Source organism: Homo sapiens, chromosome 9, assembly GCF_000001405.40.
Source record: "Homo sapiens chromosome 9, GRCh38.p14 Primary Assembly".
Lineage (NCBI taxonomy): Eukaryota > Metazoa > Chordata > Mammalia > Primates > Hominidae > Homo > Homo sapiens.
Genome location: NC_000009.12, coordinates 136,702,816 through 136,729,635, shown reverse-complemented (window position 1 = coordinate 136,729,635; position 26,820 = coordinate 136,702,816). Strand labels below are relative to the sequence as shown.

At 59.5% G+C, this 26,820-nt stretch overlaps 2 protein-coding genes, 1 long non-coding RNA gene and 2 other non-coding genes across 7 annotated transcripts, besides 7 other annotated features; 4 read left to right on the top strand and 1 right to left on the bottom strand.

The window, feature by feature from the left end:
* Nucleotides 105–254: an enhancer, noted in NCBI's record as "active region_29323". NCBI's record gives its function as "activates an Ori minimal core promoter by ATAC-STARR-seq in GM12878 lymphoblastoid cells {active_cell/tissue: GM12878}" and the evidence as "EXISTENCE:reporter gene assay evidence [ECO:0000049][PMID:35858748]".
* Nucleotides 702–871: a silencer, noted in NCBI's record as "fragment chr9:139623217-139623386 (GRCh37/hg19 assembly coordinates)". NCBI's record gives its function as "represses an EF-1alpha promoter that drives an FKBP-Casp9 reporter gene in an ReSE screen in phorbol 12-myristate 13-acetate-treated (for megakaryocytic differentiation) K562 erythroleukemia cells {active_cell/tissue: K562(+PMA)}" and the evidence as "EXISTENCE:reporter gene assay evidence [ECO:0000049][PMID:32094911]".
* Nucleotides 1,025–1,704: a silencer, noted in NCBI's record as "silent region_20538". NCBI's record gives its function as "represses an Ori minimal core promoter by ATAC-STARR-seq in GM12878 lymphoblastoid cells {active_cell/tissue: GM12878}" and the evidence as "EXISTENCE:reporter gene assay evidence [ECO:0000049][PMID:35858748]".
* Nucleotides 1,452–5,042, top strand: SNHG7 (small nucleolar RNA host gene 7). Of its 3 annotated transcripts, NR_024543.1 has the most exons (5): nucleotides 1,452–1,755; nucleotides 2,550–2,590; nucleotides 3,220–3,325; nucleotides 4,526–4,581; nucleotides 4,697–5,042. It is a non-coding gene; the product is annotated as a small nucleolar RNA host gene 7 (long non-coding RNA). The 3 variants fall into 3 exon arrangements; NR_024542.1 differs by having other exon boundaries at nucleotides 4,526–5,042; NR_003672.2 differs by lacking the exons at nucleotides 4,526–4,581; nucleotides 4,697–5,042 and having other exon boundaries at nucleotides 2,550–4,421.
* Nucleotides 1,452–12,354, top strand: LOC124900276 (cuticle collagen 2-like). Its single transcript, XM_047424334.1, has 5 exons — nucleotides 1,452–1,755; nucleotides 2,550–2,590; nucleotides 3,220–3,325; nucleotides 4,526–4,581; nucleotides 5,636–12,354. The coding sequence occupies exon 5, from the start codon at nucleotides 9,361–9,363 to the stop codon at nucleotides 10,294–10,296; it is 936 nt and encodes a 311-aa protein (XP_047280290.1). The 5' UTR covers nucleotides 1,452–1,755; nucleotides 2,550–2,590; nucleotides 3,220–3,325; nucleotides 4,526–4,581; nucleotides 5,636–9,360; the 3' UTR covers nucleotides 10,297–12,354.
* Nucleotides 2,757–2,889, top strand: SNORA17A (small nucleolar RNA, H/ACA box 17A). The gene has a single exon (NR_002958.1). It is a non-coding gene; the product is annotated as a small nucleolar RNA, H/ACA box 17A (small nucleolar RNA).
* SNORA17B (small nucleolar RNA, H/ACA box 17B) lies at nucleotides 3,399–3,532 on the top strand. Its single transcript, NR_002975.2, has one exon. It is a non-coding gene; the product is annotated as a small nucleolar RNA, H/ACA box 17B (small nucleolar RNA).
* On the bottom strand, nucleotides 4,894–17,064 carry DIPK1B (divergent protein kinase domain 1B). The gene is made up of 5 exons (NM_152421.4): nucleotides 16,908–17,064; nucleotides 11,925–12,059; nucleotides 7,608–7,715; nucleotides 7,335–7,511; nucleotides 4,894–6,674 (listed from the first exon to the last, which is right to left on the bottom strand). The coding sequence occupies exons 1-5, from the start codon at nucleotides 16,968–16,970 to the stop codon at nucleotides 5,862–5,864; spliced, it is 1,296 nt and encodes a 431-aa protein (NP_689634.2). The 5' UTR covers nucleotides 16,971–17,064; the 3' UTR covers nucleotides 4,894–5,861.
* Nucleotides 5,685–5,979: a silencer, noted in NCBI's record as "tiled region #5701; K562 Repressive DNase matched - State 14:Gen5'". NCBI's record gives its function as "represses a minimal TATA promoter and a strong SV40 promoter by Sharpr-MPRA in K562 cells {active_cell/tissue: K562}" and the evidence as "EXISTENCE:reporter gene assay evidence [ECO:0000049][PMID:27701403]".
* Nucleotides 10,147–10,196: an enhancer, noted in NCBI's record as "active region_29322". NCBI's record gives its function as "activates an Ori minimal core promoter by ATAC-STARR-seq in GM12878 lymphoblastoid cells {active_cell/tissue: GM12878}" and the evidence as "EXISTENCE:reporter gene assay evidence [ECO:0000049][PMID:35858748]".
* Nucleotides 15,207–15,336: an enhancer, noted in NCBI's record as "active region_29321". NCBI's record gives its function as "activates an Ori minimal core promoter by ATAC-STARR-seq in GM12878 lymphoblastoid cells {active_cell/tissue: GM12878}" and the evidence as "EXISTENCE:reporter gene assay evidence [ECO:0000049][PMID:35858748]".
* Nucleotides 15,477–16,401: an enhancer, noted in NCBI's record as "H3K27ac-H3K4me1 hESC enhancer chr9:139607687-139608611 (GRCh37/hg19 assembly coordinates)". NCBI's record gives its function as "activates a minimal SCP1, AML or CMV promoter by ChIP-STARR-seq in naive H9 embryonic stem cells {active_cell/tissue: H9 hESC(naive)}" and the evidence as "EXISTENCE:reporter gene assay evidence [ECO:0000049][PMID:30033119]".
* Nucleotides 17,065–26,820: the final 9,756 nt, after the last annotated feature.

Below are 26,820 nucleotides of genomic sequence, written 5' to 3'. Positions count from 1 at the left end.
TGATTCCACAACCAGAACCAGAATTAGAGGCAGCTCCAGAGCTACAGCCATCTCAGACCTGCACCAGCTTCAGAACGAGAGCCAGAGTTCCTGCCAGCTCTAGAGCGAAATCCAATCAAGAACCAGCTCTAGCACCATATCCAGAGCTAGGACCAGCTCTGACACTTTTCCCAGGGCAAAGACTAGCAACAGCAACACAGCTAGAGGCAGCTCCAGAGCATCGGTCCCCGGGGCAGAGCCAGCTTGTCTCCAACAACCGTGTCAGTGCTAGGACAGAGCCTGCACCATCTCTGGAGGTGGAGCCTGCTGTGGTGCCAGCTCCAGCCCCAACACCAGAGCTAGAACCCAGCCTGCTGGTGGGGCCACACAGGGAGGAGCCTCAGACCGCGCAGTTGCAGCCCAGTTGCAAAGTGTCCTGGGGTCCTGCGCTGGGGCTTTTCTTAGGAGCCCTGGGGTGTTTTCTGGCTTTGCAAAGGCAATGAAAATTTGAGTTGAATTTATCACCAGCTCCTGCTCCCTCTAAGCCAGTACCCGAGCTGGAGCCAGCTCCTATGCCAGCTCCCGCACCCCGGCCTTCCTGGCCTTTGCCTGTGGCTGCAGAGAGCAGGCTGAGCCAGAAGCCTCATCTCCTGGTGTCCCCTCCAGGCCTAAGGCTAGAGCGGTCTGCGCTGTGCAATGCGGAGGCTGCCCAGCCCCAGGACAGCAGCGCGGCCTTCCTCCCGGCCCCTGCGGCTCAGGCCTGTCATCCCCTGCTCTGGAGCTCGCGTCCTGGTCCGAGTCCCGGCGGCTCCACCGTTCGCAGCCCGGCGACCGCGGCGAGTCGCTTGGCCGCGAGGCCTCGGTGTCCCGCCCTGCGCGGTGACCGAGGTCCCAGGACACAGCGCAGACAGGGCGCTAGTCAGGCCTGGCCGCGGTAATCCCGCCTGCCGGGACCCTCGCCCGCCTCAGCACTCATTAGGCGCCTGGTGTGTACCCGCGCCCATGGCCGACACCGGCAGAGCCCCTGGTGGGGAAGGGACGGAGCGCGTCGCGGGAGCCCCATGCTGCCCGGGGTGGGCGCTGCTCGACAGTCACGGGAGCCGCCCCAATGGCTGGGACCACCGGGACCCACGGGCTCGTGGAGCGTCCTCCTGACCCGGCCTGGGAATCCTCCGCGAAAACGGGGAGCCGCGCGTGTCCGTGGCGTGCCCGGCACCCGGCGGGTCGGAAACGGCGCGGCCCTGGCTGCTGGCCCCGTGGGGCGGTCGCGGTGCAGGACACGGGTCACGGCGCTGCCGCTGCTCTGCGTGGCGAACCCACACGCCCGCCCGCCAGCCACTGAGCAGCGCCCACGTGCGGGCGCGGGGAGCTGAACGGCCGGGGACCGCTGGGGGGCGCTGCTTGGGCGGGGCGGATTGACTCTTGCGGGCCGCCGTACGCGCTATAAAAGGCGCGGCGCTTCCCTTCTCGTCCTCTGCGTGCGCCGGAGGCTGCCGTGGCGGGTGGGCCGCCTGACTTCTCCTCCCGGCCAGTTCTCGAGCGCCTCACCGGGCCTCGCCCTGCAGCCTCGCTCTCGCTGGCGCTGCGCGGCCTAGGGGACTGGGCTGCTGGCCTCCGGGTGCGGGGTGGGGGCAGGCTCCGACCTGGGGCGTCCTGGCCGCGCGAGCCGCGGGATGGGGGCCCGGGCCGCGGAGGAGGCGCCGCTGGTGTGTCCCTTGGTGGAGAGGGCGCTGCCGGCCCTGCGCGGTTTCCAGCCAGGAAGCTTCGGGAAGCCTGGTGAGAGCTGAGTGCGCGAATTCGGATCTTAGAGAAAGGCACCCCGTTCACCCACGACCCTTCCGCTCCTGCCGCTGCTTCCCTGAGTCGCTCAGGCTGTGGGAAGATGTTTGTCGGCATCTTTGAAAAATTGATTTCTTATGCTGCGTCAGGTGGTTTCCTTGTCACTGTGGCTGCTCAGCGGGAGGCTGTTCTGGCGGGAGGAGGACTGCTCGGTTGTCTGGTGGGCATTCCGCCTCGTGGTCCTGGTCCCTTGATACCTGCAGGGGATCAGCAGCCCGCGTTTCGTGGCCACTGTGTTGTAACTCCAACTTCCCCTCCCGCAAATTAAGCGTAGAGTAAGGGGAGAGAGTAACATGGGTCGGATTTTTCTAGAACGGCCCTTGTGACAGTGAGCTTTTTGGTGGCAGGGAGCTTCTTTGGTCCGCCTTCCTGGAGACCAGATGCAGCAAAACGCAGTCTTTTTCTTTTCGAGACAGAGTCTCAGTTGCCCAGGCTGGAGTGCAGTGGCGCGATCTCAGCTCACTACCACCTCTGCCTCCTGGGTTCAAGCGACTTTCCTGCTTCAGCCTCCAGAGTAGCTGGGATTACAGGCGCCAGCCACTAGGCCAGCTAACTTTTTTTTTTTTTTTTTTTAGAGAGACGGGTTTCACCGTGTTGGCCAGGCTGGTTTTGAACTCCTGACCTCAAGTGATCTGCCCGCCTCGGCCTCCCAAAAAACGCAGTGTTTATGTGATGCTCCTCTGTGGTGTTTGCAAGATTTATACAAAATTGCGGTTTCTTTTTTTCTCTAGGACGTCTGCTCACTGGAGATGACACGTGCGTGGGGTGTTGGGTAAGTTGGTGCATTGGAGCTGGAACAGGGTCAATCCTCCAATGTAACTAAGCCCTCCTGTGCAACATCTTAAGTGACTGGAGGGACCAGTCGGTCTTGTGTTCACATTGAGGCTAGAAGCTGTCTCCAGGGGAGTAAAAACGGATTATTTAGTCTTCAACAGGACACTGCCCCTAGAGGCGTTGCAGCTGTGGCTGCCGTGTCACATCTGTGTCATTAGGTGGCAGAGATTAGAGAGGCTATGTCTACGCTCAGCGTTCTGCCCCGTGAACGTTTGAATGTTTGATAGTCTCACACTCCTGTTTTGTGGACAGGCATCTGTTTTCCTTCGCTGGTATCTGGGAGAGAGGGTGGGCCCTGTGAGTGGGCTTTCTAACTCTCGCGCTGGGCTAGGCTGGCCTCTAGGGGTCTGAAGGGATAGTGGGAAGGTGGAGGGTGCCTTCACCAGGAGCAGCCTTCATGAGTGAGTTTTAAGAACCTGTGAGGATCGGTCAGGTCAGGTGAGGTACGCGCTGGATCATGCCGTACACCGTGTCAGGATCACGCAGGACAGGACTGGGGAAGGGTTTGCTGGCGTCTCGGTTAATAGCAGTAACGGCAGCCGCTTGTGTTCTTGATTCTTTGCCAAGCATTCTTGTTATTTAACACGGGAAGGAGGTGACTTCGCCTGTGATGGACTTCCAGTGTGAGCACTGGCCAGAGTGACCAGGCTGACCAGCACCAGCCCTGATCCAGGTAAGAGGTGAGGCGGAGGCTTGCCCTCCTTCCCTGCCTGCCGGGTGCGTGTGAGCGGCTGCCCTGCGGATGCTGTCCTGGACCTGTTGGCACCACAGACAGTTGCTCTGCTGTGCCTGTGGCCTCGGGGCAAAGAGAAAGTGGCGATTTCTACACTCAGTGCTCGGGAACCAGTGGGCACTGAGAATGGTTTATGGCCTGACATTACTTGCAACCAAAGCCAGGCAGCATTTGGATTTTCGCTTTTGGAAACCACCTTACCTGGTTTGCTCCATGAGGGAGGGGCAGCAACATCGCTGGGAACCCTGAGGTGTAGATATGTATAAATGAGCTGTGTGTGTATCTGAAGCTCGGGCACTTGTGGGGTTACCAGGAGTGTGCGTCTCACTCCCAGGCCTCGTTCTGGAAACGATTCTGTAGGTCTGTCTGGGAGGCCTTAGGCAAGTTTGATTAAGAACAGTCGAGCTGGATAAACAGGCTGTTCCTTGTCCAGCACTAGTCATCCCAGGGGGGCGGGGGCGGGGCTGCAACTCCTGTGCACAAAGGAAGGGCCCTGGGTAGGGGTCAGGAGCTGCCTTGCCCAGAGATGTGTCTGGGTCACTTTGGAAACAGGAATCCTCTCCCCAAAATGGGTAGCAATGGGGGTACAGAGGCCAAAGACGCAGCTGCATGTCCTGCAGTGCCTGGGACGCCCCGTAGTGAAGAGTGATGTGGCCCAAATGTCAGCAGTGCCAGTGTCAGACTCCTGCTAAGAGACAGTATCAAGAAAGATAACTTCAAAATACACTTTCTGGAGGCCTGGCGCGGTGGCTCAGGCCTGTAATCCCAGCACTCTGGGAGGCCAATGCATGTGGATCACCTGAGGTCAGGAGTTCGAGACCAGCCTGGCCAACTGCCTGAAACCCCATCTCTACTAAAAATACAAAAATTAGCCAGGTGTGGTGGCGCAAGCCTGTAATCCCAGCTATTTGGGAGGCTGAGGCAGGAGAATCGCTTGAACCCGGGAGGCAGAGGTTGCAGTGAGCCGAGATCGCACCACTGCACTCCAGCCTGGACAACAGAGTGGGACTCTGTCTCAAAAAAAAAAAAAAAAAAAAAAGTACAGTTTCGGGATTTCATAAATTGGGTTCCCTGAGGGTCATTTGGTGAATCCGGGTTAAAGAACCCTGGTCTGCATCACTGTCCTTGTTTGTTTTTCAGATGCAGAGGCCAGGATGTGGGCCCAGCCCTGTGCCAGGAGGCTGGCTGGAATAAAGGTACAGATAGAGGCCTCACCCCCTCTGGGACCACTGGCACTCAGGGTGTTTGCAGCCTCAGAGCCCACCTGCCCCCAGGGCCACAGCTGCATCTCCTGCCCTGCTGTCATTACAGGGATGGGCAGGCTGGCATGGGGGCAGCCGCTGCCCCTGCCTGGGTGTTGCTGTGTATTCCTGCCGGCCAGGGGCCACTGCCAGGACCACGCCTCCCTTTTCATATCCCGATTCTTAAGTTCTGCTATTGTGGTATTCTGGTGGAGAAAAAAGAACCGCGTGGCTGTTTTTGAACTGCCTGGAACCTAAGACCCTGAATTCTTTTCCCCCCCAAGGGGAAAATCTATATGGAAAACATTTATTTTAAAATACAGGATGAAGTGAATTAAAAGATTTAAATGCACATTTCTTTAAGGATAATATTTCTGTGTTGGCAAAATTTGAGAGTAAATTGGTCTTGAATGGAATGGATTGTCTTGACTCACACATTGCGGAGCAGAGCCCGCCCTGAAGAAAGGTGTTGCTGTGGTGGGATCTTCCCACGAGGGTCCTTGCCTGTTCTCCTAGGGGATGGTTGCTGGGTGCCCTGGGCTACTGGGGAGAGCGTACGGGGCTGGAGAAGATGGCCATTCCTGGGCTGTTTCCTAGGGAATGAGTTGTACATCTCATGGCTGGATTTTGTAAAATCAGTTTTTAAAATACCGCATATATCTGTTTTCTTACTGGAACACCTTTTTCTTGGTCTGTTGTGCACAGCCCAGGTTTGGGGGGTACTGGTCATTGACTGTTTCAGAAGCCGCTGTGTTTGGGGAACTGCCCTGGCGGCTTCAGAGGTGTGTGTGGGTTGAAGGGCAGGCAGCTCTGCAATAGACCTCACCTTGGACTAACACCTGAGGGCTGCCTCGCCAGGAAGGATTCAGGGGCTCAACCCCAGCCTGAGTGCCTGGGCTGGGTGGATCCACAGCGGGGCGAAGGGTCCCACACACAGCATCGATGGGGGCTCAGGGTGCTCAGCCCTGGGCATTACATAAAAGCTGTTTATTGACATTACGTTCTTCAGAGTAACAAACCCCCTTGGAGGACTCTCCTGCCGGGATGTCCATGTCCGCCTTTGCTCCGAGCTGGGGTCTCATGTCTGTGGTGCTGGAATCCAGAGCCCTGACGGTAGGGGAGTGATTTTGCAACACAGTTGCATTTCACATCTTCTGACAGGATTCCTTGAGGGAGGGTTGGACCCTGGCACCTGGCCAGCTCCAGGAAGGGTGGCCAGGCCCCTCACTGCCCCATCAAGAGTACTTGGTGTTGGAGATCTTCTTCCAGAGCAGAGTCTTGAGGTGGCTGAGCACCAGCGAGTGATGGGCCTCCACCTGGCTGGCCAGCCCGCTCAGCGTGGTACAGGTGCGCAGCTGTGTGCCCAGCTCCTCGCGGAGGTCGGCGGGCGCGCCAGGCAGCAGGTAGCCCCGTAGCAGTGCGCACACCTTGGCCAGGTTGGGCTGGATGAGGTCGCCCTTGCACTGCCTCATGAGCCTGTCACACGGGGCCCTGCAGTCGCGCCCGTAGGTGCAGTCGGTGCTGTGCTCGCAGCGGCGGCCCTGCAGGAAGCGGCGCACGGTGGCCTCGGGTGCCACCTGCTGCAGGTCGGCCATCTTGAAGTCGTAGGTGGCTGTGTAGCCCACGTTGGCCAGTGTGGTCTCACACATGTAGAAAGTCCCGTAAGAGCCGTGGAAGAGCTCCTCCACGAACTCCAGCAGGCCGATGGCGATCTTGGCCCGCCAAGGCCACGCAGGCCCCAGCCACTGCTGGAGAGCACCCTGCAGGGCAGGCGGCAGCAGTGGGCGCAACAGGGGTGGAAGGGCGGCCGCGTGCCAGGCGCCATGCGGCACGCCCTCGGTGAGGTAGAGGTCCCCACAGTAGCCCAGCAGTCTGGAGGCGTGCTCCTTCTCCTGCAGGGACAGCAGCAGCAGGAACTCGTTACGCTGCAGCAGGGCCCACACGGACTTGGCTTCCGCCAGGGACACCCGGTTGTCCTTGTTGAAGTCAGCCATGAGCAGGACCTGGCCAACCAGCGCCGGCAGGGAAGGCAGGTCTCCCAGGTTCGCCTGGCGTTTGGGACCAAAAGAAAGGAAAAGCCAGCTGATTTGATGTCTGGGAGCACGACCTGGCCTTTACCTGGTCCTCCTGGCGGGGTGGTCTGCCGGCCAGACCAGCACATCTGCCAGGTTAGGGGTCCCAGCCCACAGCTACACGGGTGGAGGACGCAGCCAGCAATGTGTCAGCTCACTCTGCTGGCCTGTGTGGCTGCTGCCAGACAGACCTCCCGCCTCCTGGCAGCCTTGGGTGCACCTGGGGAGCTCGGGGGTGGGCACCTGGGCAGAGAAGCCTCAGAGCTTCCCTGAGGATGAGAATCGGCACAGGGCAGAGGGCACGCACTGGCTGAAGCCCTGGGAAGCGGCCCCTTTCCACAAGCCCTGGTCTCCATTCGGGGCACCTGCCCTGCTGGACACACGGCCCTTGACTGCAGGAGCCTCCCCTCGACCTCAGCTGCCAGCCCACCGGCGCCCCCAACCCTTGCCCCCAGCCCTGGAGAGGCTCCTTCCCTGGCAGGGCTCATGCCCAGGGGCTGGGGGATGGGAGGTCTGCCCAGGGTCCACTTGGGCCCATCTGTGCCTTTGCGCTGGGCATGTTGGTGCCAGGGCCGCCTGCTGGGCATATGACCGTGGTGTGGACTCCTGCCCTGCCCCCTAGGAGAGCTGCCTGACCTTGAGGAAGCTGAGGGTCATCTCCCGGAATTCCTTGATGGAGGTGCCCCGGGTGGGCTTGTCAAACAGTACCAGCTCCCGCCGGGGGGCCGCATCCGACCGGGCCTTGGAGTCGAGGGTCTCCTCAATGCCACACTTGATGGTTACATCCTTGTCCCGCCAGAGCCCGCTGTACACCTGGACAGGGCCACAGAGGTCCTCCGTGCAGACATCCCCCTCCCACTGCACGGGCAGTATCAGCCCCAGGCCCACCCGCCCTGCCAGTGGCTATACCTGCTGGCCCGGGGCCACCGAGAGGCAGGTCCTCCACTCCACCATATGCAGCTCACACAGGTCCTGGCAGACGGAGCCCGAGATGATCCCCTTGCGGTACTGGTCACACTGAGGAGACAGGTGCAGGCGTGCCGGGCGGGGCAGCCACACCCCTGCCCCACTGAGCCCCTGCCCACAGGCCCGAAGCTGGCAGGGGCCTCCACTTGCTGCAGTTGGAAAGCTGCCAGCCCCTCACACAGGCAGTGCCGGGGCCCTGGGTCATGCCATTGGTGGCTGCAGGATGGGGCTGTCGGCTGCAGGGGCAGCCCCGCCAACCCTCCGGTCCGGTCCCGTCCCCACCATCCTGGCTCCTGTAACAGGACGGCACAGCAAAGGCCACTGCCTGGACATGAGACACACACCACACCCAGTGTCGACCCCACGCCAGGGCCAGAGGCAGGAACCTGGAGGCAGCTCTCCGCCCAGCCGACCCAGCTCTGGACCATCCAGGCATTGGCCGGTGAACTAGAATTCACACTAGTCCCTAATATCTACACCACCAGCTGCCACACGCGCGCTCTCTGCCTGACTCTTCATTCCTGCCTCGGGTGACGCCAGGAGGGAGGATGCACCCCCTGACTCATGGCGCCCTCCCTGCCCGGAATAGTAAGTGAGACATTTCTGAACTTGTTTCCTATGATGGTGCTGACTGGACTGCGTCTTCCATCTGAAGGGCCAGGAGCTGCCCCACCCAGGCAGGGCTTTCCCTGGGACGCCAGGAAGAACAAAAGGGTGGGCTCTTGGTGCCAGAGCGATGGATGGTCAGGCTGGCAGAACCTGGACAGGAGTCAGACACGAGCCATAGGGCCTCTGTCAGAGAAGCAACCCCCTGGACACAGGGCAAACAGCTGGGTGTCATCCCGTGAAGGGCACCGCGTCCAGCCCCTCTGCTCCCCGTCAGGGCGGGCTGCCAGCCATTCTGCACTGGGCACTCATGGGGGCTCTCACGACAGATCCTGATGCCCAGAGCCACACCTGCATGGCAGCTTCTGGCTGGGTTTCCACTAATCTCAGGTGTGGGTCTCCTCCTGTCCCAAGGACTTGGCCTCCCTCTTTGGCCCGGCCCAGCCTTCCCCAGGCTGAGGCAGGAGGACAGGCTGCGGCCTCACTGTTTGCCTCAAGTGCAGCCAGGACAGGGCTCACCACCAGAGCTGACAGTCTCAAGGGTACCCCTGGGGTGGAGCCGGCAACGGAGCCCCAGCCTCTACCTCCTCTCCCAGCCCTCCGAGGCCAGTGCCCAGGCTCAAGCGCTCCGTTGTCAGAGCTGTTTGTCAAGGCTGAGAAAACGGACCCCTGGGGCCCCACAATGACTCCGGGCCTGTCCTTCCCTGTCCCACAGGCCCCCTCCTTAGCCAGACCCCCAGGGAGACTTTGTTAGCAGTAATTACATCAGGCCTGGGGCTGGCTGCCGCCCCTCCTCAGCCCCCACCCTAGCTCCAGGGGCCTGGCAGCCCCTCAATCCCAGCGCCCCACGGGAGGTGATGGAGGGATGGAGCTGGCCCGCCCCTCTGGGGGGGGGAGAATTCCTGGATGTACAGCCTCAGTTGCCATGGAGCCTGGCCAAGCAGGCTTGGAGGGAGCTGGGGAAGGGAGCTGCGGAACACCCCGCCCTCCAGGGTTGGGGAGGAGGGAGGGTCCCCGCCCCCCACACACCAAGGATGGGGACAGAAGTGAGATGGGCCAACTGGAGGCCGAGGACCCCGCCACGTGAGTCATGAAGGCAGCGTCTGTCCCGGCAGCAAGAAAACGCCGGCTCTTCGTCAAGACAGAAAAGGAAAATGAAGGAAAACTGCACACTTGTCCAACCCTCCACCTTGCAGGCAGGCCCTTTGCCACCGGAGTCCACTCCCGTCCCCAGACCAGCCAGCTCCCTGCACCCAGAGCCCCAGACCACACAGCCCCTGCACCCGGAACCCCAGACCAGCCCCCTGCACCCGGAGCCCCAGACCAGCCCCTGCGCCTGGAACCCCAGACCACACAGCCCCCTGAACCCAGAGCCCCAGACCAGCCCCTGCACCCGGAGCCCCAGCCCACACAGCCCCCTGCACCCGGAGCCCCAGACCACACAGCCCCCTGCACTCGGAGCCCCAGATCACACAGCCCCTGCGCCCGGAGCCCCAGACCAGCCCCTGTGCCCGGAGCCCCAGGACCGCAGGAGGCTGCCCTGCTCCTGGCACACAGTGGTGCTGGGGAAGGAGCCTGTGGGCCACACTGCTGTCTGCCAGGCTGGGGCTGGGGCTGGGGCTCCAGGGTCCCCCAGGGGTGGGGAGATGGAGCTGCCTCCATGGTCCTGGGCACCTACCAGCACCTAGCAGAGTGTGGAGAGGCTTCCTCAGAGGCTGAGGCGGGCGTGTGCTTGGCCTCCTCAGGGCCCTTGCCGCACATCGGTCCCCTCACCGCCCAGCCTGTTCCCCGCCTGCAGCAGGGCTCAGTGGGGACTCACGGTCTAGTTCTTGGCCTCGCGAGGGCCCTGGTGGAAGCTGGGACTGGCCCTGCACTGCTGCTGCCTCGTTGTGTGCGCTGGGCCAGCCTCTGCGCCTCTCTGAGGCGTCCAATGCCCCCACGAGGCCGGGCAGGGAACCTCCTCTGGGAAGGAGGGGACGTCTCCATGGCCCCTGGGGTGGCTTCGGGAGAGCTGGGCTTGGCCTGACCTCTGGGAAGGCTCTGAGCAGCCAGGGAAACCCCCACTGGGCAAAGGGCCAGGGCACCCTGGGAAACCGACGCTGCAGCTTCCTCTTGTTTGTGGGGGCACCTCCTCCTGCTTTGCGGCCCGGCACCCAGTAGGTGCTCAGAACCTGCCTGGCCACGTGAATCCTCTGCTCACCCCCACCCGCCCCCACCCACAACATCCCGGCCCGGAGGTCCGGCCCCTCCACCTCCTTGGTCCTTCTAGGAGCTCCAGGGGTGCATCTGATCGGGGCACAGCCTTCCCCACCCATGGCCCCAGGACGAGCCCCATGTGCCACCCTCCGGCCCTGCTGGGCTCAGAGGCCCCCTGGACTTCAAGGGTGAGCAAGGCCTGGTCCAGGGGCCCGGAGGCCTCCCCTGGGCTGGCATGGGCTCCAAACAAGTCCTGGGCACAGAAGCTCTCCTAGCTCCGGACCCCACACCCCAGTCCTCCACTGCCACATCTGGGCCTTTCCACATGTGGCCCCCGTCAGACATGGCTCTGTGGGACACAGGCCTGCCCAGGCCCACCCGGCTAGCTTCATCCACCACCCAGTTGCCAGGAGAGGTGCTCTCCCCATCTGACGGAGGAGACACCGAACCTGGGGTCTCCCTGCACCCAATCACCCTATGACAACCCACAGTGGCCGCTGCTACAGGCCAGATCCTTCTATGCCCAGGCCTGACCCCAAGGGGAGTGGAGGCATCGGAACCCTGGTCATCGGGCAGCCTGGGGTCAAAATTCAGTGGGGGACCTGCCCAGTTCTGGGCGAGTCTAGGGTTTGCCAGGAAGACAGAGCTGGGATGACCTCCCCTCTGAGCTAGTCACAGGGTGTGGAGAGGGGCAGGGGGTCACCTTGGTGTGCACTCATGTGGACACGTTTGCTCCCAGACACACACATGCTCACATACGCCAGGGGACTTAGCCCTATCTCCCTGAGGTGGAGGCTGTGGAGGACCTTGCCCTGCCACCTGCCTCAGGGGACCCCTGGTCCCAGGGGGGCTAGCGAGGCCACTAAGGCCAGCACACGGGGGTCTCTATCCCGGACCAGTGAGGCCAGCACACGGGGGTCTCTATCCCGGACCAGTGAGGCCAGCACACAGTGGTCTCTATCCTGGACCAGTGAGGCCAGCACACGGTGGTCTCTATCCCAGGCCAGTGAGGCCAGCACACGGGGGTCGCTATCCTGGACCAGTGAGGCCAGCACACGGGGGTCTCTATCCCATCCAGTGAGGACACCACACGGGGGTCTCTATCCCGGAGCAGTGAGGCCAGCTGCCCACCCCAGGCTTCCTGCTAAACATCCTCCCTCCCAAAGATTTCTGGAGTCTGCCCTGCCTTCTGCCCCCAGCCCCCACGTCTCCCCCATCCTCCTCTGGACCCCCATCCTCCACACCCAGCCTGAGGCAGCCCCGCACGTCTCCCCCGTCCTCCCCTGGACCCCTGTCCTCCACACCCAGCCTGAGGCAGCTTTGCAGATTCCACCTAGAAACCCACGTGCCTCGTGGGCCCTGGGTCTGGGGAGGAAGGTGTCTCCAGGGCCTGGTGCCCCAGCATCTTGGGCAGCAGGGGGCACGGCCCAGTCCCCAGCCCGCACAAGCAACACTTACAATGACCACCTGGCAGACATGGCCGCGACAGCGCTCCGAGTAGGACGAGTAGTGCACGTACACCAGCCAGCTGCCTGCAAAGACGCCCAGCCAGGCCAGGAAGATGCAGCGGACCCTGAGGCCTGGGAGCCGGCCCTGTGGGGGAAGGGGCTGCGTGAGGAGGTGCCCTCGGGGCACCCAGGCTCAGGGTGCTCTCAACCCCACTTCCCACAGGAAGGGCCTCCGGATCCACCCCAGCCTTCCCCTGCCATCCCCTTGGCCCCCTGGCACCCCCGTCTTCTAGAATCACCCCCAGCTCAGCGACACCCACTCCTGGCTCTGCCTCTCCAGGGTCACATACCAGGGGCTGCAGGGGCCGGAGGTGGGGGCAGGCGCTGCCCAGACTTTTCAGTGTTATGGGCAGGTACAAATAAATGTCAAAACCAGGGGACTACAGGGTGGCCGATTCTTTCCTCTGCTGAATGAAATTTTTTTTTTTTTTTTGAGAGGGAGTCTTACTCTGTAGCCCAGGCTGGAGTGCAGTGGCGCGATCTCGGCTCACTGCAACCTCTGCCTCCCGGGTTCAAGTGATTCTCCTGCGTCAGCCTCCCGAGTAACTGGGACTACAGGCATGCACCACCACGACCAGCTAATTTTTGTATTTTTAGTAGAGACGGGGTTTCACCATGTTGACTAGGCTGGTCTTGAACTCCGGACCTCAGGTGATCTACCTGCCTTGGCCTCCCAAAGTGCTGGGATTACAGGTGTGAGCCACTGTGCCTGGCCGAATGAAGATATTTTTACAAACCCTTCCTATCCTGATCTCATTTCATAACATCGTCACCTCCGCACAAGGCCAGGTGAGCGCGCCCACCGCGAGAGACACTGCCCCTATTTTTCCCACCGTCCACCGTAATGCAGATTGGTGGGAAGTTCCGGCCGGACCAGACCCACAAGGAGAACCAGGTTTGGAGAACGGGGCCCTAGGAGCCCAACGCAGCCACATCCTGGAAGCCTTTAAGAGACGCAGGCGGGCCGGGCATGGTGGCTCACCCTGTAAACCCAGCACTCGGGGAGGCTGAGGCGGGCAGATTGCTTGAGCCCAGGAGTTTGAGACCATCCTGGGCAACATAGGGAAACCCCGCCTCTACAAAAATACAAAAATTAGCTGGGTGCGGTGGCTCACCCTGTGATCCCAGCTCTTTGGGAGGCTGAGGTGGGTGGCTTGCTTGAGCTCAGGAGTTCGAGACCAGCCTGGGCAACATGGCAAAACCCCATCTCTACTAAAAATACAAAAATTAGCTGGACATGGTGACTCACGCCTGTAGTCCCAGCTACTTGGGAGGCTGAGGCTGGAGGATTGATTGAACCCGGGAGGTTGAAGCTGCAGTGAGCTGTGACCCCACGCTACACTCCAGCCTGGGTGAGAAAGCGAGACCCTGTCTCAAAAAAAAAAAAAAAAAAAAAAGACACAGACTCAGACACCGATGTTCACAACAGCCCAGGGGTGGGCAGTCCTTAAGTTCACAGCCGGGGGATGGAAGAGCAGCTGCGTCTATCCTATCCACACTGCGGAGTGACTGTGTCCTGAGAAGGAAGGAGATCTGATGTCCACCCAGAAGGGAGGAGCCCCAGGACAAGAGGCTCAGTGAAACGAGCCCGTCACCAAAGCACAAATCCTGCAGGACCCACTTACACGAGGTCCCCAGAGTCGCCAAAACCATAGAGACAGGAAGGAGAGTAGAGGGAGCCGCGGGCTGGGAAGGGACTGGGAGTGTGCGTTTGATGCAGACAGAGCTTCAGTTTGGGAAGGCGGAGAGCTCTGCGGACAGAGGGAGGTGACCACTAAACTGTGCCCTTAAACAGGGTTAAGATGATACACTTTATGCCATGTGTATCTTACCGCAGTTAAAAATTAAGGTCGGGCGTGGTGGCTCACCCCTGTAATCCCAGAACTTTGGGAGGCCGAGGCAGGCAGATCACCTGAGGTCGGGAGTTGGAGACCAGCCTGACCAACAGGGAGGAACGCCATCCCTACTAAAAATACAAAATTAGCCAGGCATGGTGGCGCATGCCTGTAATCCCAGCTACTTGGGAGACTGAGGCAGGAGAATCGCTTGAACCCGGGAGGCAGAGGTTGTGGTGAGCTGAGATGGCGCCATTGCACTCCAGCCTGGGCGACAGAGTGAGGCTCCGTCTCAAAAAAAAAAAAAAAGTAAGCAGGCAGCCCCTGGCCCCTGCCTAAAGCTCTGACCCAGATGTCTGGGAGCCGGCTTTTAGGGAGGGCTCCAGGTCACTCTGCCATCCTCAGTCCCTCTGCCTTGGTTTCCCTACCGGCCTGAGGAGGCTCAGGCACCGGCTCTAGGGTGCAGGCCTCCAAGCTGGGCTTCCAAGGGTGACAGCCAGGGACAGCTGCATGCCACCTTCCCTCTCCCCAGCCCCCTAGCAAATTTCAGGCCTCTCAGGCACTGGCCAGCAGAGGGGACTTGCCCTACACAGGGGTTCAGACATCCCTGACCTGCAGCTGAAGGGTGAAGGGCCCAGGCTTGGGGGCCAGCTTCCCCTCAGAGAGGCCCCACTGCTGGCTCCAAGCACTCCCTGTGGCCTCCTGTCCACCTGCGGCCAGGGAGAGGCTGCCCTGGGCACATCCTCCTCCCGGCAGCGCCTGGCCACACCCCCACCTGCCCAAGCCAGAGCCCCCATCAGAGGTCGTGGGCTGCAGCCCGGCTTAGGCCGTGAGCAGGGGACTCCTCCCTAAAATGGGGCCACCAGCTCCTCAACGAGGACAAGGCACAGCCCAGGCAGCTGAGGTCGTTTTTTCTGGTTCTTTCAGGATGGGTGGGCCCTGGTCTCCTGCTTCCCCGGCATCCACTCACGGATGGCCGCCCCAGGCAGGGCTACAGAGGGAGGACCCCCAGCAGCTGGGGAAGGGCCCAGACCTCCAGTAGCAGTGGGGTCCTGGGGGTCCTGGAGCAGAGGGCGTGGCTCCGGTGTGGGGAGCCCTCCAGGCCCAGGTTGGTCTCCGCCCCCTCAGACCACTTGTCCTGGGCACTGAATCTGTTTCCGGCAGACTTGCTCAAGATGAAAAACAGGAAAGCAGAGAAACAATGGGGGGTGGGTGTTGTTCTGGCAGGATAAGGTCGGATGGCTCCGTCTGGGGTGAACGTGCCCAAGGCAGGGCCATGCAGGGAGGCCCAGCATGGGCGGGGCCTCGGAGGACAGCCAGGAGGAGGGAGGCTGCAGCTGGCCTCGGGCCTAGGGCTGACCCCAGCTGGGGACAGTGACACCAAGCTAGGGACTTACCCAGTTCTGCTCCCCAGAGCCCCGACTGGGCTTGGGCCAGGGCCTATTTCCGCCTGGCCAGCTCTGGTTCATCCCCCAGCTCTTTCGTTGTTGTTGTTCTTTTGAGACAGGGTCTTGCTGTGTTGCCCAGGCTGGAGTGCAGTGGTCCAGTCACAGCTCACTGCAGCCTCGAACTCCCAGCTTCAAGTGACCCTCCCATTAAGGCCTGGCATTACAGGCAGGAGCCACCTTGCCCAGCTCTCCCCTAGGTCTTGATCTTCCCCAGCTGCCATCCCTGACCCTGCTGTGGATCCTGGGGTCCCAAGCAGCTGCTCTGCAAGGCCCCCACAGTGCTCCCTGGCCCACCCTGGCTCCCGGGCCTGGCACAGATGGACGGGCAAAGCTTGAGTGTGGAGGTGGCCCCACCATCCAGGACCTGGGCTGGGGCTTTGCAGGGGCAGGTGGGGACCAGCTCCCGGTGTAGCCACTTGGAGGATAGGGAAGGTCACCCAGGGGATGGGAACAGCACAGTGGTCCTCAGCCCAGCAGGCTCAGACCGTGGGCCAGGAGCCCCACAGCACTAACCCAGAAAAGCAGTTCACAAGGCCAGGAAACTGAGGCCCTCGCCACTAGAGGGGCAGGCTGGGCTCCCACCAGGGCTCTGGCCCCGAGCCAGCCACCCTGGGAGCAGCCAACACCCCTCTGCTGCCATTCCTGGGCGGAGCTCCAAGCATCAGCATCTCTTCTGCAGCTGCTGGTCGAGGCCTTTCCTCGGGGGAGGGGACCACTGTGCACCCCACCTCCCAGCGACTGGGGTGGTCCTCAGACCCCTTAGCTCTCACCCTGCCCCAAGGCTGAGCCGGGACCACCACAACCTGAAGCCCCAAGTGGGCACAGAGGGTCTCGCTGCAATCTGTGGGTTGCCAGGTTCCATACGCTCTTCCCAGAAGGGGAGCTGAGGCCAGCCAGGCCCTGAGCTCAGGCAGGACGCAGGCAGGGTTCCTCCTGCTGACCCAGGACCACCCTGCGGGGGCCGGGGAGATACAGGCAAATCTGACCAGGACTGGCGCCTCCGGCAGATGGCTGGGGTCCTGGAGGGTCTGGGAGGGCATCCCATCCGAGGCCGGGCCCCGGATGATTGGAGCCTGATGGGCCTGGCCTGCATCTCCCCAAAGCAGAAGGTGAAAGGGCTCCTGGCAGCTGGAACCCAAGGCGGCCCGGGCCTCCCCTGCGGACCCGGCCAGGCCCCTGGAGGGGACGGTGGTTCAAGGTCATCCCGGGGTCAGGGCAGGGTCCCCGCGCTACGGCTGGCTGATGGGATGAAGGGGCAGGGGGCGGGGAGGTCATGTCCTTGCCAGGGCGTTTCTGTGCGTCCCAAGTTTTCTACCGCAGAATAACACACCTCATTTTTTAAGTGGAGAAAAGAAGAAAGGACTTCGGTGTGGTTTCTGGGCCTGGGGGGCAGGGACCGCCTGCAGGTCGGGGCGAGGGCCTCCAGGCCGCAGCATCCCCGCGCCCGGACCCTCCTGTCGCCGCCACCGCCCCTCCCCCAGCGTCCCGTCCTTCCGGAGCCACTCGCCCCCTCCCCGCTGCCCACCCCGGGCTCATGAACCCTTCGTGTCCGAACCCGGGGCCCCGCTCCGTACTCGGCCCACTCCGGGGCTGGAGCTCGGCCTCCCCAGGCAGAGGCGGCCGGGGGCGGCGGGCGCGCACCGCGCTTACCTGCAGGCGCTTGGAGAAGGGGCAGAAGAGCACCAGGTGCGCCAGGCGCCGCAGCCGCCGCATGGTGGGCTCCGGCCGGGGCTGCGCGGGCCCCGCGGCTCGCTCGGCCTCAGCCCCGGCCCGGCCCGGCCCGCAGCGGCCGCCGCTCCCTCGCCATGCGGGCCGCGCGCCCCCGGGCCCGCGTTAAAGGCGAGGGCGCGCGCCTTTCTGTCGGCCGACGGCGGCGCGGCGGGGGCGCGCGGGGGAGGGTCGCGGCGGAGGCGCGCGGGGGCGGGGCTTGGCGCGCGGCCCGCCTTCGACCCCCGGCTCGGCTGAGGAGGGGGCGGGCACCGAGGCCCCGCCCACCCGCAGACCCCGCCCCTCATGCAACGGTGCTGCGGGAGGGGCTGGGGGCGCGCGGGATGGGCCGGGAGGCGGAGCCGGGGCCGGGGGCGCGCCTGTCGGGCTCCTGGGCGTCTCGGGGGCTCTTCCCACGCTGGAGAGAGGCCCCGTGCGCTACGCAGGCTGCGGGGTTCAGGGCTCCCCACGCGCGCCCCCGGTTCGAGGCCGCAGAGCCAGGGCTGGTCCTTCCCCTGGGTCCTCAGGATGGGGTCAGACGCGCGGAGCCCTGGGCTGGCCGAGCCTGCAGCCCGCCCCGGGGTCCGACCCTTCCCTCCTGGCTGAGACCCCGCGCCTTGGCCACTCGCCGGGAGGACACTTCCTTCGCCTCCGCGTGGGGTGCTCGGGGATGAGCCGTTGCCGCCTCCATAGGCAGGTTCCGTGTGAACAGAAGCTTTCATTGCACTTCGGTAAACACCTGGGGGGGCTGAGTTGGACGGTGAGGGATGTGGGGCGCAGCCAGCAGCTGCCAAGACTCGCTCCCTCCCCGCGGCCGCCGGCGCTTCCAGCTGCTCCGCATCCCGGGCGGCTCTTGCTATCGGCAGGTTTTTACATTTTAGCCATTTCCCTGGTGGTGGCGTCTCGCTGGGGCTGTGGTTCGCGTGTTTAACACACTTTCTGCGTGTTCAGTTACCACCTGTGTATCTTCTCCAAAGTCTATTCAAGTTTTTGACCATTAATAAAAATCACGTTGTTTCTTTATTATTAAGTTTTGAGACTTATTTACATTTTGGTTTTAATTTTTAATATCTAGAATGAGACTGGGTCTCAGTGTTTTGCCCAGGCTGGTCTCGAACTCCTGGGCTCAAGGGATCATCCTGCCTTGGCCTCCCAAAGTGCTGGGATTACAGGCATGAGTCACCTGGTGCCCAGCCAAGACTTTTTTTTTTTTTTTTTTTTGAGAGGGAGTCTTGCTATGTTGCCCAGGCCGGAGTGGTCTCAAACTCCTGGCCTCAAGTGATCCACCTGCCTCAGCCTCCTAAAGTGCTGGGATTACAGGCGTGAGTCACCATGCCTGGTCCGAGACTTCTTTATATCTTCTGGATATCTGCCCATTATTACACATGTGATTTGCAAAGATTTTTCTCCCAGTCTGTGGCTTTCTTTTCATTCTCTTAACAGTTTCTTTCTTTTCTTTTCCTTTTTTTTTTTTTTTTTTTTGACGGAGTTTCACTCTTGTAGCCCAGGCTGGAGTTCAGTGGCGCGATCTCAGCTCACTGCAACCTCCGCCACCCAGGTTCAAGAGATTCTCCTGCCTCAGCCTCCCAAGTAGCTGGAACTATAGGTGCAAGCCACCATGCCCGGCTAATTTTTGTATTTTTAGTAGAGACGGGGTTTCACTATGTTGGCCAGGATCACTCCTGACCTCATGATCCGCCTGGCTTGGCCTCCCAAAGTGCTGGCATTACAGGCATGAGCCACCGTGCCTGGCCACACCAGGCTAATTTTTTAATGTTTTGTAGAGATGGGGTTTTGCCATGTTGCCCAGGCTGGTCTTGAACTTTTGGGCTCAAGCGATCCTCCCACCTTGGCTTCCCAAAGCTCTGGGATTCTGGGCGTGAGTGAGCCACTGCCACCAGCCCGGATCGTGCTCTGAGTGTGTCATCTCTAAGAAATTTTTGCCTAACCGAAGGTCACAAAGGTTTTCTGTGCTTTCTTCTAGAAGTTGTATAGTATTCGGCTTCATATTTAAGTCAATGACCCAATTCCAGTTAACTTTTGTGTATTGTGCAGGGTGTGGATCAGAGGGTTTTCAGTTTGGGGCTTGGGGGTTTTGTTAGCATTTTTTGCACATGGACATCCAATCCTTCTGGCATCATCTGTTGAAAGGATGAGCCCCTCCCCACAGAATTGCATGGCAGGGAGTTAAACAGAGAGGGACAAGGCCAGGGGGCAATGGGGTCAGGGTTCTATGCCAGGTATAGAAAGGAGGGGTGGGCCTGGGGGTGTGGCAGTGGCCTAGGCCAGCGACCTGGATGGACAGGGCTGGAGGCAACGTGAGGAAGGGGAGAGGGGCCAGTGGGAGAAAGTAGCAGGCAGACCCTCCCAGTCTCAGTGACCCCCAAGGTAGCCGTAGCCCAGGCTGGGAAGAGGGACTGCCATGTCCCCAAGTGACCTTTCCTCTCTCCCTCGATCCAAGCACTGTCTCTCTGCCAGCGAGGGTCCCGGAGCCCAAGAAAGGGAAGAGCAGTACGAGAGGGTGGGACACAGAGCACAAGCACCAAGAGGCCAACACGTAGGCTTCTCCCGGCCTGGAGGGAGGCCTTGCCATGTTTACAGCTGGGAGAGCATGTGCTTCCCTGCATGGCCTGTCCTCCTCCTGCAGGAGGGCTGTCCCAGGGCCAGGGGGAGTGGGTGCAGGGCAGTGGTGGTCGGTCCGGCCTGCAGGGAGCTCAGCTGGAGGGTGCAGGAGCCCACACCTTCCGTCAATGTGAGCCAGGCCAAGACCGCGGCCAAGAAAGTTCTGGAGGGTCTCCCGAGGAGGGCTTCCTGGGGGAGGGGCGCAGGAGAGCGTGATCCGTGGGTCAGGATCTGGGGAAGGTGTGGGCCATGAGAAGGATGAGCGCAGCCTCAGTGCCACTCCCAGGCTGCCAGGAGGGAGATGGCCCGCCCTGGGAGGAGTGCCTGGTGAGCGCATAGCCGGCCCTGGGTGACCCTGTCCCCGAGATCTTCCAAAAAGGCATTTCCCAGCAGGGCCCGCGGGACGCGGTGCTCCCTCCAGGCAGGGACCAGTGACCACGTTCTCCTTTGCATCTGCAGGCCTGGCCCAGAACCTGCACACTGTCCGTGGCCACTAGCCCATCAAGTGTTCATGGAATGGGCACTGGCCGGGTTCCAGTTCAGTTTGAATGGGTCTAGTTCTCGTTTTGGGGCCCTTGTTTCTACGCCACCAATGGGTGACATCCACCTGCCTGGAACATGAATGGGGCAGAGGACCCGGGAGGTGCTGACTGGTATCTCAGGTGTGGGGGCGGGAACTGGGCCGTGCCTTGCTGTTTCTAGGGCCTTTCGTGGCCTGAGGCCCTGAGCTCAAACCCTGGCCAGGGCAAACGACAGGTAAACGAAAGGTCCACTGCACAGACACAGACGCAGAGACACAGGATCACACACACCTTCGGGGCAGGCTCCGGGGACAATTCTGAAAGTGGAGGACCTTCCTGCCCTGTCTTTCCTTCCCATTCGTCCTGAGGCCTGGGAGTTTCCTCCCCAAGCAGGGGGCCCATTGCTCTCCCTGCCCTGCTGCAAAACTGGCATGTCCCATTCCAACTGCTATAACTGCGTCTCTTCCCCAGGCATCCCCTACTCACACCCAGACCTTTTTTTTGAGATAGAGTCTCGCTCCGTTGCCCAGGTTGGAGTGCAGTGGGGCAATCTCAGCTCACTGCAAGCTCCGCCTCCTGGGTTCACGCCTTTCTCCTGCCTCAGCCTCCCGAGTAGCTGGGACTACAGGCGCCTGCCACGGCGCCCAGCTAATTTTTTGTATTTTTAGTAGAGACGGAGTTTCACTGTGTTAGCCAGGATGGTCTCGATCTCCTGACCTCGTGATCCGCCCGCTTCGGCCTCCCAAAGTGCTGGGATTACAGGCGTGAGCCACCACGCCTGGCCTTTTTTTGTATTTTTAGTAGAGACGTGCTGAGACCAGCTCAGTCAGGGAGACCCTATCCGAGCGGCGTTAGAGGAATTAAAGACACACACAGAGAAATATAGAGGTGTGAAATAGGAAATCGGGTCTCACAGCCTTCAGAGCTGAGAGCCTCGAACAGAGATTTACCCACGTATTTATTGACAGCAAGCCGGTGAGCACACCAGGTGAGCAGCCGTTTAGGGGGCCCTGGTGGATCGAGGGCCCTGGAGAGCCACGAGCTTTCCCTCAGACGGTGGAGTGCGGCGCGTCAAGTTTCCCCCAAAGGGAGAGCTGCCACTTCCGATGAGAAGCTGACATATCACCGGGGACCCGCCCGCTGCTGTTGAATACAGAGTCTTCTGTTTGCAAAGAGAAGCTCTAGGGCCCTCCTTCCTTGTGGTGGTTGTGTCTGAGTTGAAAACCCTCCGAATGGGACTGTCAGGCTCCAGTCACAAGGCCTCCGTGGTCAGGTGGTTCACTGGGACAAGAGCTCGTTGTAAGCTAATTTTGCTTTTTGAAAACAAGGGGTGAACCTAGTAGTCGTGTCAGAGAGTCAGTGAATCCACCACCCCAAGGGGCACATCTGGGCAGAGGCTGTTTTCTTTCTCTGGAGTTTCCAGATAACGGGATCGTCAGCCACAGGGACTTGTCGTTCAAAGGGATCACAGGGCTGTGAGGCCCCAGCGGGAGAGAGAGTGGCCTGTGGCTCACGGGGCGGCAGCTGGAATAGCCTGTTGGTTCAGGCCCTGACGTAAGCAGGCTGATTTGTGGGTTCACTAATTTATTTTATTTATATTATTATTTTTTTGATACCAAGTCTTACTCTGTTGCCCAGGCTGGAATGTAGTGGTGTGATCTCGGCTCACTGCAACCTCCACCTCCCAGGTGCAAGCGATTCTCCTGCCTCGGCCTCCCGAGTAGCTGGGATTACGGGCACACACCACCACGTCTGGCTAATTTTTATATTTTTAGTAGAGACAGGGTTTTGCTATGTTGGCCAGGCTGGTCTCAAATTCCTGACCTCAGGTGGTCCACCCCCCTCGGCCTCCCAAAGTTCTGGGATTACCGGCGTGAGCCACCTCGCCCGACCTGGATTCACTAATTTAAGAAGCCAAGTCGAATGCCCAAATGAAGCACATCCTGTCTCCAACACCCACACAGTCCAATCAAGTGCTGGGTTGTCCTTTTGGGTGAGATGAGGGAGCAAAGAGACAACAGGTTTTCCTTGACTGGCTGAGGCAGTGAGTGCTGTGGACCCACCTCCACCTACCTCATCCCAAGAAACTCCACCTGGTGAGGCAGCCACTGGACGCTGTTGATGTTTTGCCTGCCTCTGTGGACAGGGAGGTATGAGAGTACCCCCGTCTAGTTGTCTAGTTCTAGAGACCCAAGGCTTCTGAGCTGCCAACCTGCAGGACATCATCTGTATCATGGCACCTGTGGACATCAGAAGTCCTAACCTGCCCACAGGTGGCCAGTGGCGGGGCGTGTACGGGGAACACACCTAAGTGTATTGGAGACCTGGCCATGTGAATGCAAGCTGGTCTTGCTCCTCCCCTGCCAGTGGTGTGGCAAAAAGGCATTGGCAGGATCCAAGACAGTGTACCAAGTACCCGGAGCCCACGTGATGGGCTCGGTATGGTCACAGTGTGTAGGACAGCTAGGGCTCTGGGAGCAATGGCTGACTTCTGTTGGTGGTAATCCACTGTCAGCCACCAGCAGCTCTTACCTGCTCCACTGGCCACTCAGGGATGTTGTGTTGCCATATTTCATCTCTTTTTTTTTTTTTTGACACGGAGTGTCACCCAGTGATTGTCACCCAGGCTGGAGTGCAGTGGCGTGATCTCGGCTCACTGCAGCCTCTGCCTCCTGGGTTCACATGATTCTCCTGCCTCAGCCTCGCGAGTAGCTGGAACTATAGGGGCCCGCCACTATGCCCAGCTAATTTTTGTAGTTTTAGTAGAGACTGGGTTTCTCCATGTTGGCCAGGCTGGTCTTGAACTCCTGACCTCAGATGATTCACCCGCCTCGGCTTCCCAAAGTGCTGGGATTAGAAGCTTGAGCCACCACGACCAGCCTTTATTTTTTTGAGGCAGACTCTCACCCTGTTGTCCAGGCTGGAGTGCAGTGGCACGATCTCGGCTCACTGCAACCTCCACCTCCCGGGTTCAAGTGATGGGTTCAAGGGATTCTTATGCCTCAGCCTCCCGAATAGCTGGGACTATAGGTGCCCGCCACCACACCTGGCTAATTTTTTTGTATTTTTAGTAGAGACGGGGTTTCACCATGTTGACCAGGCTGGTCTCTAACTCCTGGTGTCAAGTGATCTACCGGCCTCAGTCTCTCAAAGTGCTGGGATTACAGGCGTGAGCCACCACGCCCAGCCCCATATTTCATCTCTTAGTCCCCCTACTGCCCTTAATCCCTCAATCAAACCTCTGATGCGCCTTTTTCCCTCTGGGATTCTGTACCGCTTCTGGGATTCTGTACCCGCCCTGAAAGCGGGTTGCAGAGAGATTCACACATCCCACTGGCCCTTCTCTGCATTCAGTGCTTGCCAATAGGGAGAGTCCCCTCTGGCACGTACAGGATGGAAGTATGGGGATGAAACACAGCTCCTACGCGGCAACACACACATAGAAGCATCAAAAACAGGGCATCGAATTGGCCCAAAATGCCACACCCACAAGATCACATCAGCCTTCACTCCCCATTTCAAACCGTGCACAAATCCGGTGAGCGGAATCCAGAGAACTTTTCCTTCCACTGGTCCAAACAGGAGAGTGATGTGGGCTACTCATATCCGACAGAGCCATAAAGTTTGAGTTCTTCTTCTCCTCCAAGTTCTCCAGCACACTTGGATGGTGCCCACGGCCTGGGAACCTCTAATCATCTTTCTTCCTAACGTAAGTGGAGGGGGGTGAGAGGTGGAAGGAGGAAGTCCATGAACAAGGTTCTGCGTTTATTTTCAGGCAGCGTGGCAACGGCTCATGACTCAGCCAGGGACTGTTCCATGATTTTCAATCCATCCAATGCTCCGTACCAGGCAGTGAGCTTCTCACAGCTGACCCATCTACTTCAGTTTTGGGAGCCCCATGGCTTAGTAGCCATTGCCATGTTGTTTTCAGCTGGATCTGTGGAGTTTGCACCATTTGGCCAACTCGAGCTTGGTGTCCCAGTGGCAATCTTATTTGAGGATTCTTCCTACTTTAGACAAAATAGATGTAACAGAGTTGATTTGAGCATTAAAGGAGGCATGAATCAGGCAGCACTCAAAGGTGGAAGAGGCTCTGGGAGCTCTGTCTTAGCAGTGTGAGCAGCAGGCTTTTACAGGCTGAATGTGGAAGTGAAGTACGGAAATAACTCAAGGCCAGGCTAGGCACCGTGGCTCACACCTGTAATCCCAGCAGTTTGGGAGGCCGAGGCAGGCAGATCACATGAGGTCAGGAGTTCAAGACCAGCCTGGCCAACATGGTGAAACCCCGTCTTTACTAAAAATACAAAAATTAGCTGGGCATGGTGGTGTGCACCTGTAATCCCAGCTAATCGGGAGGCTGAGGCAGGAGAATCGCTTGAACCCAGGAGGCGGAGGTTGCAGTGAGCCGAGATCACACCACTGCACTCCAGCCTGAGCAACAGAGCATGACTCTGTCTCAAAAAAAAAAAAAAAAAAGAAAAAGAAAAAAAAAAGAAAAGAAATAACTCAAGACCTTTGCCTTATTTGGGTGTGGTCTGATTGGTTGGCTGCCCGTGATTGATTGGTTGAAACCTGGCTATCTGTTAACAAACTACTGAATAAAGTTGTTGTTGGTTAGTGGGAACTCCCAGTACAGAGACGGCCTCAGGCAATGACTGCTCCTTATTTTGCTTTAAACAACTTTAATCTAGCCGGGCAGGGCATGGTGGCTCACGCCTGTAATCCCAGCCTTTTGGGAGGCCGAGGCGGGCAGATCACCTGAGGTCAGGAGTTCCAGACCAGCCTGGCCACCATGGTGAAAGTCCTTCTCTACCAAAAATACAGAAATTAGCCACGCATGGTGGCAGGTGCATGTAGTCCCAGCTACTCGGGAGGCTGAGGCAGAAGAATCGCTTGAACCTGGGAAGCAGGGGTTGCAGTGAGTCAAGATCGTGTCACTGCACTCCAGCCTGGGTGACAAGAGCAAAACTCATCTCAAAATAAATAAATAGATAAATATAAATAAATAAAATTCAGTGGTGCCTCTTCCTCCTGCTCCAGCCACGTAGGACACACCTGTGTCCCCTTCACCTTCTGCCACGATGATGTTTCCTGAGGCCTCCCCAAAAGCAGAAGCCGCTATGCTTTCTGTACAGTCTGAGGAACTGTGGGCCAATTCAACCTCTTTTCTTTCTAAATTACCCAGTCTCAGGTATTTCTTTGTACCCATGTGAGAATGGACTAATATAGATGGTTTTGGGAGGTGGTGCCTTTGGGAGGTGACAAGGTCATAAGGGTGGAGTTCTCATGAATGAGATCAGGGCCTTTATAAAGGAGACCCCTGGCCGGGCACGGGGCCTCAAGCCTGTAATCCCAGCACTTTGGGAGGCCGAGGCAGGTGAATCACCTGAGGTCAGGAGTTCGAGATCGGCCTGGCCAACATGGTGAAACCCCGTCTCTACTAAAAATACAAAAATCAGCCTGGGGTGGTGGCGGGCACCTGTAATCCCAGCTACTCGGGAGGCTGGGGCAGGAGAGTCACTTGAACCCGGGAGGCGGAGGTTGCAGTGAGCCAAGATTGCGCCATTACACTCCAACCTGGGCAACAAGAGCGAAACTCCATCTCAAAAAAAAAAAAGAAGAGACCCCCACCCCGGCTGCCAGGAGACCCCTGACTGCATTCACCACGTGACGTCTATCAGGAGGCGGGCGCTCACCAGACACGGAATCTGCCTGCACCTCGATATTGGACTTTCTGGCCTCCATCACTGTGAGAAATGCATTTCCATTGTTTGTAAGCCACCTGGCTTGTGGTGTTTTGTCAAAGCTGACTAGGACAGTCACTTTCCCTTCACCAGGACTGCAAACCCCGTGTCTCAACTGTGGCTTCCTGTGAGTTTGTCTGTCAGCAAAACCTCCTGAAATGGGCCAGAGCCCCCCTTAGAGCAGCAGGACATGCCACAGACTTCAGAGACCTTTCACTGTGCCCCCAGGACAGATCTAGAGTTGGCTGGAAAGGTGCAGGAGCAGCTGGGCCATGCCTCCTTAATAACACTGGGGGCTCCACCCCCATCTGTCAAGGGAACCAAAGCTCCAAGGACTTCCTAGTTTCTGCCCTCGGTGGGAGTGCAGCTGCGGTCAGGAGACCTACACATCTGTGACTGTCAGAGCGGCAAGACCTTCTGCTCGCAGAGACACATCTTTTCTTTCTCTCTTTCTTTCTTTTGAGACAGAGTCTCGCTCTTGTCGCCCAGATTGGAGTGCTGTGGTGTGATCTCGGCTCACCGCAACCTCCGCCTCCCTGGTTCAAGCAATTCTCCTGCCTCAGCCTCCCGAGTAGCTGGGATTACAGGCATCTGCCACCAGGCCCAGCTAATTTTTTGTAGTTTTAGTAGAGATGGGATTTCACCTTGTTGGCCAGGCTGGTCTCGAACTCCTGACCTCAGGTGATCCACCCGCCTTGGCCTCCCAGAGTGCTGGGGTTACAGGCGTGAGCCACCGCGCCCGGCCCTCTAAATCATTTTTAAGCACACAGTCAGTGACATTAGGTATGTTCACATTGTTGTACAGCCCTCACTGCCATCTGGCTCCAGAACTTTTCCATCTTGTAAAACTATCTTGAACTATACAGGTGCAGTGGCTCACACCTGTAATCCCAGCACTTTGGGAGGCCGAGGCGGGCAGATCACCTGAGGTCAAGAGTTTGAGACCAGCCTGGCCAACATGGTGAAAAC